This window comes from Homo sapiens, chromosome 4 (assembly GCF_000001405.40).
Source record: "Homo sapiens chromosome 4, GRCh38.p14 Primary Assembly".
NCBI classification, from domain to species: Eukaryota; Metazoa; Chordata; class Mammalia; order Primates; family Hominidae; genus Homo; species Homo sapiens.
In genome coordinates, this window is record NC_000004.12 from 55,124,444 (window position 1) to 55,139,124 (window position 14,681).

The 14,681-nt window shown below is 40.7% G+C and overlaps 1 protein-coding gene across 1 annotated transcript in view, besides 1 other annotated feature; it reads right to left on the reverse strand.

Moving 5' to 3' along the window:
• KDR (kinase insert domain receptor) overlaps window positions 1-1,152 on the reverse strand; it is a 47,115-nt gene extending 45,963 nt beyond the window's left edge. Inside the window, exon 1 of the mRNA NM_002253.4 lies at window positions 784-1,152. Coding sequence (NP_002244.1) covers window positions 784-850 — 67 coding nt within the window. The 5' untranslated portion in view covers window positions 851-1,152. The remainder of the gene's footprint in view (window positions 1-783) is intronic.
• Window positions 8,219-8,832: an enhancer, noted in NCBI's record as "OCT4-NANOG-H3K4me1 hESC enhancer chr4:55998829-55999442 (GRCh37/hg19 assembly coordinates)". NCBI's record gives its function as "activates a minimal SCP1, AML or CMV promoter by ChIP-STARR-seq in naive H9 embryonic stem cells {active_cell/tissue: H9 hESC(naive)}" and the evidence as "EXISTENCE:reporter gene assay evidence [ECO:0000049][PMID:30033119]".

The following is a 14,681-nucleotide window of genomic DNA, read 5'->3' on the forward strand; positions in this document are numbered from 1 at the left end:
GCTAGGTACCAAGGCCCACAGGAAAGGTTTTCGGAGCTTGAACTTCTGACTATGCGCTTACACCAAGGACCACAGCGCTTTGAAAGATGTGCAATGCTTTACGCAGGACAGTTGGCTGTTACTTGGAGACCCTTGGGGAAGCTGTCAAAGCCCCCAGGACAAGTCCCTATTCCCCCCCTTCTTCGCTCTGCAAGGAGAGCGGCGTCCTGCACCAAGGAAGGAAAAAAAGTTTCTCTCCGCTCCAGACCCCACTTCACACAGTGGTGTGCAAGTGTGTTCGAGCATGAAGACAACAACGGGCCGGGTCCCGCAAAGAGGCAGAACCGAGTGTACCGTCCGATCCGGGAGACCCGGCCTGAGATTCCGGCAAGGTTTTCTTCCCCGGGCCCGGACTAGGATGTTGCGCGCAGCCAGACAACTTTTCACCGCCTGTTCTCGCCTGCGGAGGCACCTCCTGCCTGCCAACCCCAGGCGCCTTCCCACCCCAGCCTCCCAAGAGCCTGAGGGTGTGTCGGCATCTCAGGACATGCTCCAGCCGAGGTCCCTGTCGCAAACCAGAGTCCTAGAAAAGGAACTGGGCTAGAGCACAGGCGACCACAGACTCGCTGGGTAATCTTGGGCCAGTCTCTGAGCCTCAGTTTCCCCACTGGTAAATGAAAGATCGCAAAATGTCAAGTCCTGTCCAACTCTCCAGCTCTACGATTCCGAGTTAGATCTGGCTTTCAGGTCCTCTCCGCCCTCACCCGACCTGTCTGCCTTCCTCCTCCAGAGTGGGCTCCTTACCCACAGAGGCGGCCCGGGTCTCCACGCAGAGCCACAGGGCGACGGCCAGCAGCACCTTGCTCTGCATCCTGCACCTCGAGCCGGGCGAAATGCCCAGAACTCGGGAGCCGGTTCTTTCTCCCAGCGCCTGTCTAGAGAAGGAGGCGCGGAGGTGGAACTCGCGGCACCCCGCAGCGCAGGACAGTTGAGCGCACAGGGCTAGGGAGCCCGGGCGCCGACCGCGGCTGCAGGGGCGTCTGCGGGTGCCGGTAGGAGAGGATATCCAGGCTGCCAGACGGACTTTCTGCGGCGCGCAAGTGATGCCCGGCGCAGGCAGAGGAAACGCAGCGACCACACATTGACCGCTCTCCCGGGGTCCCGGGACTCAGTGCAGGGTGGGAGCTGGTGCCGAAACTCTAGAGCGCGGAGGCGGGGCCATGCGGGGCGGGGCCGGAGCGGAGGAGGGGCTCTCCCGTGCGGCCAGCCCCGCCCCTCACCCGGGTACCCGGCGGCGATCTCCAGCTCCCCAAGCCCATTTACATCTCCCCATTTCCCCACACAACTGGACTGCGCTGGGCCCCAAGTCGCCCAGGAGAGAACATCCCAGAGCAACAACTTTGTTTCTGGTGTAAATAAAAAGTACTCGGTAACGGGCGCTGAGCAACTCCAAGATTTAATCGCTTGCCGGTCCCCGAAATTTGGGGAGCATCACCAGGAGCGCTGCGAAGAGCAGCGCTCCCTCACCAGGCGCGTCAAAGTGCAGGACCCTCTTCGCCATCGCGCGCGTCTGAAGTGGCCGAGAATCTGCAGCAGTTTGGAGCCACAAGGGAGAAGCGGATACTCAGCCAAGTATGCCGGGTCGCAAGCTGGCAGCGACTCCTGCCAGTAGTTTTGGTTTTTGTATAAGGGTATTTTGTTTGGCCAGTATAATTGTAGTTTAAAAAGCTGAATCTGGTTGCTCTTAATCAGAAAACGCACTTGCCCAGTTCGCCAACATTCCCGCTATTTCCCAAAATATTTGGCGGCTCCAAGTTTGAAGTGACCTGCCTAGCCCCAAGAAGGCTTTTGTCCATCGTGCTCCCCAACGAAGAGCCCTAGTGAAAGTTTGGCCATGCCCCTTTTCAGAGCAGAGCTTCCAGCCAAGATATCCTTAGTCCCAGGGGAAGGAGGCCAGCTGCCAGCGTGCTTCAGTGGAGGAGCAATGAAGCAAAAGCACCTAGGACACTCTGTGACCAAATTGCACAACTGTCTCCACGTGTGTGGACTTCTTGTGGCAGCTGTTTGGAGGGGAACTCCAATTCCTTCCTGACCACATTCGTTCCTTCTGGTTTTCTGTCCATATCTCCCCACACCTGGGGAGTGACATCAAATGTCCCCTAACTTCATTAAATATGAATCTTCCAGATGCCTATGTCTTTTACCTCCCAGAGGTGCTTTTTAATGACAACCTAAAGGACCATTCTTCACCAAGATAAACACACAGAATTATTATATCTACACCTAATTCAAACTAGATTGATTGTATACAATTAATGTAACCTGTTACTTATCTTCATCTGTTTTTAAATATTTACTGTATTCACGCTTTTACTTTTCCAAGTTGACAGGTGAAATATTTTAATGCTGAAATATAATGAATGTATATGGCAAAAAAAAATTTTGGAAAAACACAAAAAGGCTTAGAGTGAAAAGACTTTTCTTTTGGCAGAGGCATTTTTATGTTTCCTTTTTTTTCCAAGCAGATTCTTAAACACAAGTATGTAGACATGTCACCCTTCTCTTCCCACAATTGCTTGGTATAAATGCTATTTGAGCCTTGGCTTTTTTCCCTTTAAATTTGATTTATTTATTTGAGACAAGGTCTCACTATGTTGCCCAGGCTGGTCTCCAATGCCTGGACTCAGTCCATCCTCCTGCCTCAGTCTCCCAAAGTGCTGGGATTACAAGCACGAGCCACCCTGCCCAGCCTTCACTTTATAATATACACTGGAGATTCGTTCTACATCAACCTTTAAAGCTCCATCTTTTATTTATTTATTTATTTATTTATTTATTTATTTATTTTTATATAGAGGCAGGGTCTCACTATGTTGCCTAAGCTGGCTGCGAACAAAGCTCCATCCTTCCATCTTTTCAATGTTGGCATAGTGCTCTACTATATAGATGTACTCATATTTATCTGGGAGGTATTTATTTGGGGAGGGGAGAGAATCTTTAAAGAAACTCCTCTCTTCCTGCTAGTAAACTCAGCAAATAAAATAGGATGGACTCTGGCAAAGTTGGATAAAGGGGTGGGAGATGGAACCTGGTTTGGAGAGGGCAGTTTTTCTCCATCCCCATCACCAAACAATTCCCTATCAGCCTTATTTACAGTTCATGACACTTCCTCTTCCATGTCTCATTTAAGAAGATAGTGTCTCCTCTGAATGCAAACCAGAACCTGCAGGCCCGTGGTAATAGCCCCCTTTAGAAGTCTTGGAGGAAATGATGCGTCTTTGATGGCCGCAAGACCAGAATTTGGCAGAGTCTCAATGAAATCAGTCTACCACATTCCCTCCCACACAGCACTTAGAAGTGCCTTAGGTTCACAAAAAAAATGGCAAAGTCTGTTAAAAAAAAAAAAGATAGAAAAGAAAGAAAGAAAGGCTGTTCCATGTGCAGCACCCTCTCGTTATCTGGCATTGCAAAGGAGTGACTTTTGTGAGTTAACCCAACAGTAAGGCACCTAGCAAAGTGCCCCAAATGTGTTGAGTGTTCCATAGATGCTATTCAGATGCCACAGCAGAGTAGTAGCTAAGTGCACAGACTCTGGATTTTATTCCCAGATCTACCGCTTATGATCTGTGTGATCTTTACCAACTTACAAGTAACTTATCTATGAAACACAAAAAAAATTATAATAGTACCTTCTTCATAGGGTTCTTACAAGAATTAAAGGAGTTACTGCATGTAAGGCACTTGGAGTAGGCCCCAACACAGCTAGTAAAGATCTTGGACATAGAAAGCACCAGATACACATTAAGAAACATTCTGCAAAGGTTGCTTATACTACAATGCATGGGCTTCTTCATGCTGCTGAGATCTAAACTGCTAAGCAGGCTCATTCATTCAACAGTTTTTGAGCACCTACTATATGCTAGGCATTGAACCAGGAACTGGGGTTACGATGGTGAAAATAATGTCAAGATGAGCTTAAATGAGGAATCATTGTAATAGCCTCACCCAAGACAAATTTAATTTAATCTTTAAGCACTTCTTGTCTCCAGCTACTTTTCTGGGCTTGTACATACAGAATATACATTGTTCATACTCAAAGCACACTGCATAAATTACTCTCCATGATCTCCAAATTTGGTTACATTACCAACAGTATTTTGGACTCCATGTCTTAACAAGTTATATGAAGATTTGTCAAAGGTTAATAACTGTGGAAGTTCAATTGCTTCAAAGAGAATAAAATACCCAGGAATCCAACTTACAGGGGATGTGAAGGACCTCTTCAAGAAGAACTACAAACCATTGCTCAATGAAATAAAAGAGGACACAAACAAATGGAAGAACATTCCATGTTCATGGATAGGAAGAATCAATATCGTGAAAATGGCCATACTGCCCAAGGTAATTTGTAGATTCAATACCATCCCCATCAAGCTACCAATGACTTTCTTCACAGAATTGGAAAAAACTACTTTAAAGTTCATATGGAACCAAAAAAGAGCCTGAATTGCCAAGACAAATCTAAGCCAAAAGAACAAAGCTGGAGGCATCATGCTACCTGACTTCAAACTATACTACAAGGCTACAGTAACCAAAACAGCATGGTACTGGTACCAAAACAGAGATATAGACCAATGGAACAGAACAGAACCCTCAGAAATAATACCACACATCTACAACCATCTGATCTTCAACAAACCTGACAGAAACAAGCAATGGGGAAAGGATTCCCTATTTAATAAATGGTGCTGGGAAAACTGGCTAGCCATATGTAGAAAGCTGAAACTGGATCCCTTCCTTACACCTTATACAAAAATTAATTCAAGATGGATTAAAGACTTAAATGTCAGACCTAAAACCATAAAAACCCTAGAAGAAAACCTAGGCAATACCATTCAGGACATAGGCATGGGCAAGGACTTCATGACTAAAACACCAAAAGCAATGGCAACAAAAGCCAAAATTGACAAATGGGATCTCATTAAACTAAAGAGCTTCTGCACAGCAAAAGAAACTACCATCAGAGTGAACAGACAACCTACAGAATGGGAGAAAATTTTTGCAATCTACTCATCTGACAAAGGGCTAATATCCAGAATCTGCAAAGAACTCAAACAAATTTACAAGAAAAAAACAAACAATCGCATCAAAAAGTGGGCAAAGGACATGAACAGACACTTCTCAAAAGAAGACATTTATGCAGCCAACAGACACATGAGAAAATGCTCATCATCACTGGTCATCAGAGAAATGCAAATCAAAACCACAATGAGATAGCATCTCACACCAGTTAGAATGGCAATCATTAAAAAGTCAGGAAACAACAGGTGCTAGAGAGCATGTGGAGAAATAGGAACACTTTCACACTGTTGGTGGGACTGTAAACTAGTTCAACCATTGTGGAAGACAGTGTGGCAATTCCTCAGGGATCTAAACTAGAAATACCATTTGACCCAGCCATCCCATTACTGGGTATATACCCAAAGGATTATAAATCATGCTGCTATAAAGACACATGCACATGTATGTTTATTGCGGCACTATTCACAATAGCAAAGACTTGGAACCAACCCAAATATCCATCAATGATAGACTGGATTAAGAAAATGTGGCACATATACACCATGGAATACTATGCAGCCATAAAAAAGGATGAGTTCATGTCTTTTGTAGGGACATGGATGAAGCTGGAAACCATCATTCTCAGCAAACTATCGCAAGGACAAAAAACCAAACACCACATGTTCTCACTCATAGGTGGGAACTGAACAATGAGAACACATGGACACAGGAAGGGGAACATCACACTCCTGGGCCTGTTGTGGGGTGGGGGGAGGGGGGAGGGATAGCAGTAGGGGATATACCTAATGTAAATGACGAGTTAATGGGTACAGCACACCAACATGGCACATATATACATATGTAACAAACCTGCACATTAAACCTAGAACTTAAAGTATAATTTTAAAAAAATTAAAAAAAATAACTGTGGAAGTTGAACAGTGGTACTTAAAGATTCATTTGACTATTCTCTCTACTTTTACGTGTTTGAAAGTTTCCATGATTAAAAAAAAAAAAATCTGTTTTAAATGACTGTAATCAAAGGGATGCCCAGGCCAATACAACACTAACTTTTCCATTGTCTTTTCCTTGATTTGGTGAAAATAAGGATTTGGAATGTCCTTGAGCATTATCTTTTAATCATTTCAGGCAGCAGCTTCATCATTTGTCAATGAAAATAATAATTCTTACCTACCTTAAGGACTGTTACGAGACTCAGATGAGATCATCTCATGGAAGTGCTCTATAAAGTGTAAAATGGTGATGGTGGTAATAAGGATTCAATAGATGTTTAATTTTCTTCCTTAAAGTACTTGTTACCAAGGCCTTTCATCAGGTGTCTTCCACACATACCTTCATCGCCTAAGAACATCAGCTGTTCAAAAATATTTCCTGGCCAGGTATGGTGGCTCATGCCTGTAATCCCAGCAGTTTAGGAGGCTGAGGCAGGAGGATTGCTTGATGCCAGGAGGCTGAGGCTGCAGTGAGCTATGATTGCACCACAGCATTCCACCCTGGGTGACAGAGTGACACACTGACTAAAAAAAAAGATAGTATTTTCTATATTTCTTTGAGATATAGATATAGATATAGAGAAGAGATACATGGAGACATACATGCATAATAGAAAATTTTGCAGAAAATATCTAGAAGGGTACACACCAAAAAAATACCTACCTTGGGGAAATGATTGAGGCACAGAGGCAGAGGGATGAGAACATGTACTTTTTGCTTCATATATTTCTATAATTTTTTTCAAACCAAGAAAGTATTACTTTTACAAATAAAAAATATTATAAAAGACATCAACTCTCTTTTCTAGGGGCTGTTATATTTTTAAATATGACCATTTATTGATTACATGTTTGCATTGACAACTTTGTCATGTTTACTGTATTTTTCTTTCCATGTTCATTTATTTTCAACTTACCAGAGCCTATGACTACCTCACCAGATGTTGGCTCAGTTTCACAGCCCATCCATACTTACAACTATTGCGACTTGGGAGATCATGAGCATACCCTTTGTTTCTCATTATCTACCTTCTTTAAACATCTAAGTTTATTTTACTCCTTGTGAGATTTATTCATTTAACTTAAGCTATATTTGTATGTTCAAGAAAAAGAAGGCTATGTCACCACAAAGCCAGGCCTGCCTTGAATGTGTCCAACAGTGTTCAATTTTATTCACAAAGCCTTATATTCTAGTAAATATAAAGCAAACTCTCCATCCTTTTAGTGAAAGAGATTAAAGAGAACTTGATTACTTGCTCCCTGCAAAGGAAAAAAATCTCAGTTACTATAAACACGTATAACTATGTTCCAGTCCCAAACTCTCCCGTATAATTTCTTGGAATATCTCACATGAGAATAGATACAATAATTTTTAAATGTGTAAAATATGCAAAGAATTTAAATAACCAACTGAAAGTCCACACAGCACCAGAGAAGGGTGCTAAAAAATATTAAGAGCTAACACTTTTTGAGCACATCATTTGAGCAGGCTCTGTTCTGAGTACTTTATTTCTCATTTCATCCTCATAACATCCCATGAGGTGGCAAGCACTATTAGTATTCCTTAGAAAGAAAAGAAGTAAAGAGAAAAAATATTTATTCTTAATTTAAGTAAATGTCCCTTTGCCTTCCTAAAAGTCTTGCCCAAAAAAAAAGTTGTTATATCTCTTTGTAAATAATCAATGAAGTTTTTTCATCAATAATTAGGAATATGGTAAAAAAAAAAAACAGGGCATTCTTTGCTTTTTTCAATAACAATAAAAAGAAGGGGTAGATTTTTGGAGCAGTTACTATGTGTCAGGTATTTTCCTTGGATTATCTTATTTAATGCACATAATAACTCAATAGAAAAGATACTATAATTATTCCCATTTAAGGGAGATGGGAAAATGAGGTTTAGAAAGTTTTTTTTTTTTTTTTTTTTTTTTTTTTTTTTTGAGACGGAGTCTCGCTCTGTCGCCCAGGCCGGACTGCGGACTGCAGTGGCGCAATCTCGGCTCACTGCAAGCTCCGCTTCCCGGGTTCACGCCATTCTCCTGCCTCAGCCTCCCGAGTAGCTGGGACTACAGGCGCCCGCCACCGCGCCCGGCTAATTTTTTGTATTTTTAGTAGAGACGGGGTTTCACCTTGTTAGCCAGGATGGTCTCGATCTCCTGACCTCATGATCCACCCGCCTCGGCCTCCCAAAGTGCTGGGATTACAGGCGTGAGCCACCGCGCCCGGCCGAGGTTTAGAAAGTTTAAGTAACTTTTCCAATGTCCCATAACTGTAAGTGGTGGAATCAGGACTTAAAAGCAGAGCAGTATTAAGCACCCAAAACAGACCCCTCCTAGCACATACAAATAGCTTTTTGTTTTTGGTTTTTTGTTTTTTTGAGGACTAATCTCATTCAAGGCATGAGGCTAAGTGAATTGATGCCACTGACTTCCTCTGCCTCTCCATAACAATAGCTTCCATTTTCCTAGATGCATGAAAAGCTAAGTGACTTAGAAGAGGCACTCTGAGATGGCTGACCAAGGAAGAATGCAAAGCAGGTAATTAGATCTTGCCCTCCCCACCTGCAGAATCCCAGCCGCATTGAATATTTACCTTCCACCCAACCCCCAAACCACAGATCTTCTCTTCAAAAAAAAAAACAACAAAAAAAAAAACAAAAAAAAGGAGCAGTTGCTTCTATACAAATAATCACTTGCGCATTTGGGGCATTTCTTTTCTACCATGAATTTTTGTCATTTGTCCTCCTGGACATACCTTCCATACCCAGTGCAAATATCTGTCCCAAGTGATATGTTTTGTTTTTTTATTCAGCTGTCTGCTTCAATTCAGACTCTTCTAGGAGAAATAGGCAAAGGTAAATCTTACCTGAGCAAGTAGTTAAGTTTGGAAGGATAGTTGGTAAGGTCTAATAAAAACGGTTAAGGACATGATGATGGTGCCTATTAATAAAATCTATTTTGTATACTATAGACTTATTGTGTTATGTCTAATTAAATAAAGCTATTGTAAAGATACTTGGGTTAATGTTATATGTGCTAGCTATATAAAATGTACTTTATATGATTATTCTTAAATTCAAATTTAGATAATAGTCATCCATTTAATAAATATATCCAGTTATGCTGAATTTATACTTGATCATTGACAAATTAATGTGGACTATTTTGTTATTCACAGAACTAGGAAATTATTTTCCTTTTCCTGTACGCACATAGCACTTATGCAACATCTGATAGCATAATCACATATTTATTCAAATATTTCTCCCTCAAATCAGGGATTAGGTCACATTGATTTTGTATTCTCCGTGCCTAACACAGTCCCTGTGCATATTCACCTCTAAACACAATAATGATGTCCAAGTTATTTTTGTTATTTCCATTTCTGCTGCTATTTGTTCCTCCTTTGCTTTTTATTTTTCCAGAATCACATGCCTCTTGACTATTCATTGCAAATGTCTTTACAGAGAGCAACTTGTGGGAATAAATGGAACCATACAATGTCAACATAGACACAACGGAGTGAAAGAGTTAGTTCTTAATTTATTAAGCAGTGGGGATTGAAGATTTTTGTTTTTGATTTTGAGTACAATGAAGAAAAAGAAATAAAGCATTTACAAGATTTGCATGTACTATACAAGAAACGTGTGATTGAAATGTTGCATCTGTGTCATTTGCAGACTCGTAACCATTTTCCAGTGAATTAATACCATCCTCCCCCTTTAAGCCTATCAAGTTTTCAAAGAACTGAATAGTGCAAAAATATACTTTTGGTTCCCAGAGAAGTGCTACAGATTACCATTCCCATATAAGAAGAATGTATACACTTCCAGGTTAGTTGAATTAGTTTGCAATACTGTTCACATTTTTAGAGACTAAAAATAATGTTTCCTGGTAATGCCACTTCACCAGTGTTGAGAGCAAGTCAATGACAGCAGAAAAGTTTTATGTTCTTTGTATATAAATTTAGTCTCCAGAGTTTCCAAAACATTGGTGAATAGTCCCTGGAGGCATAAATAAAATTTTTTTCTTTGAGCAGTGTTTCTGAACGTTCATTTCTAATATATCACTGCCTTGCTTCACTTAATTAAAAAAAAATCTCCGCAAGGAATGCCTCACAAAGAGAGAAATTTCAAAATAAAATGAAAAATACAACTTTAGATCTAATTGATAATCATCCAATAATTGGTCAGGCTGGTCATAGGCAGATGAAAGGCTGTAAGGGAGTCATTTCATGCATCTGATCACATAATATAAATAAAAGATCCAGCTGTGGAGAAAATGATTCTAGTAACAAAGCACCACATCAAAAATATTCCACATTAAAATGGTCTTTGGATATATAGAAAAATGCTTCTATTTCCTTATCCTAAGAAAACTTGACCTTGCTGCTCCCTGAAGCTACTTAGTAGTCTAGTACTTTGACCTTTCCTTCAAACGAGTTCTTGAAAGATAAAAGGACATCCCTCACCTTCTCTCCTCATGTACAATAACTTCTTACTCTTGACTCTGCCCAGCATCTCCACAACAGACATCCCATTGTCCACCCTCTTCTTGAACTTCCGTCTTTGTTGAAGCTTGAAACATTCATGGGTACACTCCTACCTACCAGCCAATGCCCTTCACTGGCTGACATTCCTTTGCTCAACCCTAAACATAGGGATCGCCAAATCCATTCTTGGTCACCATCCCTTGTACTCTTCCATGACTTTCTCAGGAATTGTATTTCCTCTTTTGCCTTTGACTATCTTCCTTATGGAGAAAACTTGAAAAATTGTGCTCTCCAACTCTGATTTTCTACCCTAGCTCCAGCCTCTAATCTCTAATTCTTCCTGGACATCTCTGTGTATGTTCCACCAATTTCTTAAATTCAAAGTGCCAAAAACTGAATTCTTTGTCTGTTTATACCCACCCTGCCTCCTTCAGCCTTCTTAAGCTCGAAGTCCCTCTAGATGCTTATACTACATTCCATGATATCCCCCTGCCTTTTCTTTTCCTCTCAAATCCAATTTTGTCTACATTCTTTACTTCCCTCATATCCATCTCCTATTTTCATTCATCAGACTGCCCTGACTCGTGACCAGTTTGCCTTTTTCCTGGAATATTCCAGTCCACTCATCACTCTGCTGCCAAAGTTATCTTCCTAAAACACAAAGTTCATCTGTCCTTCACCTTGGACAGTTGACCTCTGTACATAGCATAAAGCCCCAAATCCCAAGCCTTGTATTTAAGGGTTTTGTTCTTTGCTGCTTCCTATTTATACAACTTACCTCCCGGTATACCGTGGACATACTCTTAGTCCAACTTTCTAGATTTCAGTGGCCACCTCCAGAAAATGCATTACACTTTTTTGTCTCTTGCTTACTGTATGCCTTGAATGTGCTTTATTCCAATATCTGCCCATACGTAGTTGGCCCCTCTTTAAAAAGAGGCCCCAGGAAGTCTCTGCAATCCCTACTCATTCCCATCTCCCCATCTGACTTACTCTCTCCATGCCTGCAAGAGTAAGGATTCCTTAAGTTGTAAGAAACAGGAAAACCAACTCAATTTGGCCTGAATGTATAGGATCATGTTGTTGTAAGTTATGGGCTGGCTTCAGACAGTTTTTTCCAGAGTCTCATTGTGTCATCCTGCTGTTTTTCTCTGTGATTTTCTCAATTCTGCCTTCAGGCTGTCCTCATAATAGAAAAAAAAAACATGACTACACATTCTCACCCCACACTGTCCACAGAAAGACAGTGTCTCTTGAGAAATAAAAGGGAAGATCCTTTGATCCTTTGACCTAAGCACATCTTAAATCTCATTGCCTTATCCCTAAACCAATTACCAGAAGCAGGAAGGATCTGATAGCCTATGTCAGAGTCCACCTTTGCAATTAAGAATAGGCTCAATAACACCAAACTACATAATTAAAATAGAAAAGGGACTATTACTCAAAAAATTCTAAATATTTTTCTAGGAAGCAGGGGGAAATGGATGTTAAAGAGACAGCTAATCAATGACAATTATATTCCCCACGGTCCAAGAATATCTGTTGTGACATAAAGGATATCATGCCTTATAACAGGTTTATTTGAGTATGTGTGTCTGTCTCTCTCATTATATTGTAAGATGAAAGACAAGTTTAGTGTGGCTTACATAATCGTTTACTCTAAACTTCCAAATAATTGATGACAAGATTTTCATTCTTCTTCTGAAATAGTTTTTTCTGCATCCAACAGTATCATCATAATAATGACTAACATGTATTGAGTTATCATGTGTCAGGCCCTGTTGTAAGCATTTTACGTGTGTTGACTCCCTTAATTCTCACCATCAGGCTACACATTTCACAGATGCAGAAATTAGGGCTGAGGGAGGTTAAGTAACTTACCCAATCCTAAGCAGCTTGTGTATGGAGGAGCCAGGACTTGAGCCAAAGCAATGTGTTTCCAAAGTCTACACTCCAAAGCTGACTCTTATGCTGGTTGTATTTACTAATCTCAATAAAATGTACCTGTTGGCAAAACAGTAAAAAGCTACTTATCTTTCAGCCCACCCATTCAGACTACCACTCAGTCTTGCCAATTCTTTTTTAATGTATCTGTCCTTTATGGTTTGTTCTTACATTAAATTGACCATTCAAATTCTGACCATCTCTTGGCTAGAATTCTAGACTAATATATTTAAGAATCAATCCATCTCATATTTCCATCCCAAACTATACACTTAGCCTCAATACTTTTCTTCCTGACCTGATCCCCCATATTAAAGGTGGAACATCTTTCAGCTCATAATCAGAAGAGAATAAGACCATCAGAAGTTAAATATCTAGAGTGGCTTGTGACAACAAGTCTTATGGGGCAGCATGGTAATTGATTCTTTGATGTTGTCCCACCTCTGAGATGGAACTCATATAACTGTGAGAGCCCTTCAGAGATTATACAATCCAGTGCCTTCTCTTCAGTCAGGAATCCATTAACCATTAAAGATTAATCTTGATTATTAGCATCTTGAAGAGGCATTGAAAAGATTCTCCACAACCACACTTGGAAATACAGAACTTCTCCCCCCAGCATGTAACTGTGACAGCGGCATGCCATGAGGTTTCACCCCACGTTATGTACCCAGTATCCTGCTGCAGTGCCAGAGGCCTGCTCCTTGAGCACAGATCACAGATTGCCAAGCAATCTCTACTAATTCATTACTTTGCTTTCTAATAGCAAGGTAATTATGATTTATCTATGCAAACACCAGCATTTTAGATGTTTTAAAAGTATTACGCATGCACTAGATATATTGTTCCTTTTCTTAGGGAATTTATGGATATGTATCATTTTATTTTTAAGTTTTAACTTTCTTATGTATTTATTTATTTGAGATTTATTAGTGTTGAATCAGTGGTTCTCAACCCCGGCTACACATTAGAATCTGCAGGGTCTGGGGAGCTTTGAAAACCTGGTAGCTGGCGCCTTCCTACATCATAAATCAAAATCTTTGGGAGGAAAGATTTGATCAATAGATTTTTGTTGTTGTTGTTTATTTGTTTTCTACTATGATTCTGTTGTGCAGCCAAAGTAGAGAGACATCATGTTAAACTCTTGTTCATGAGAACAGAAATATCTTTCCAAAATTTAGAAATAAAAACTTTATAGCTTCAGGATGATTCCGTCCATTGGGTACAAGAGCCACAGTGAGCTTTCCAAAGAGCACCAAAAATACATGAGAAATTTGAAAACCGTAACACATAAGAGCAAAATAATTTATTCCTAACAAACTCAAAATTATGAAGAATACTTTTAAATACATTTCACCCCCCAAAATCTGTTTCATGTGAATGACTGTTAAGGTGTTTGGCATGATTCAGGGTGAGTCTTCCACATGTAAGGGCATTTATAACAAGTTCTTAAAGCATTCCTGAGTATTTCAAATTGCTATTTAACATTTGACTGATGAAATGTTTCTACCTACCACTGGGAAAAAAAGTAGAAGAAGTAAAAAAGTCTGAAGTCAACAGTCTGGTACTAATAATTCACTTTGATAGGAAGAATTACAGCGTTCCAAGTCTTAGCTTCAAACAGAAGATAAGCTTTTTATGTTTGTTGAGGCAGCTCTCTCCTTTTTTTCTGAGTCATGCTTTTTGTGAAACGCTACTATGAATGAAAGAAGAACTGCGTGAGGGGGATTGAGTGGGAGGAAGACACCAAAATTGAGTTTCAAGAAATATACATCATCTAAATCAGTTAATCTGATCTAGAAACATTGCTGAACATAATGGAGTATGTGGTGTCGTCTTTTGCCCTTCCTAACTCCTAAAATCAAAAGTCAAATTCTAATAAACTAGAGTAATATGTAGAGCTAACTCATATCCAGTTAAAAGAATTCTTTAGGGTCTAGAATGAGGACCCCAGAGTACAGCCACCTTTAAAATTCTTGGCCGGGAGTGGTGGCTCGTGTCTGTAATCCCCAGCATTTTGGGAGGCCGAGGTGGGTGGATCACGAGTCAGGAGTTTAAGACCAGCCTGGTCAAGATGGTGAAACCCCGTCTCTACTAAAAATACAAAAAAATTAGCCGGGCATGATGGCGGGCGCCTGTAATCCCAGCCACTCGGGAAGCTGAGGCAGAGAATTGCTTGAACCCAGGAAGCAGAGG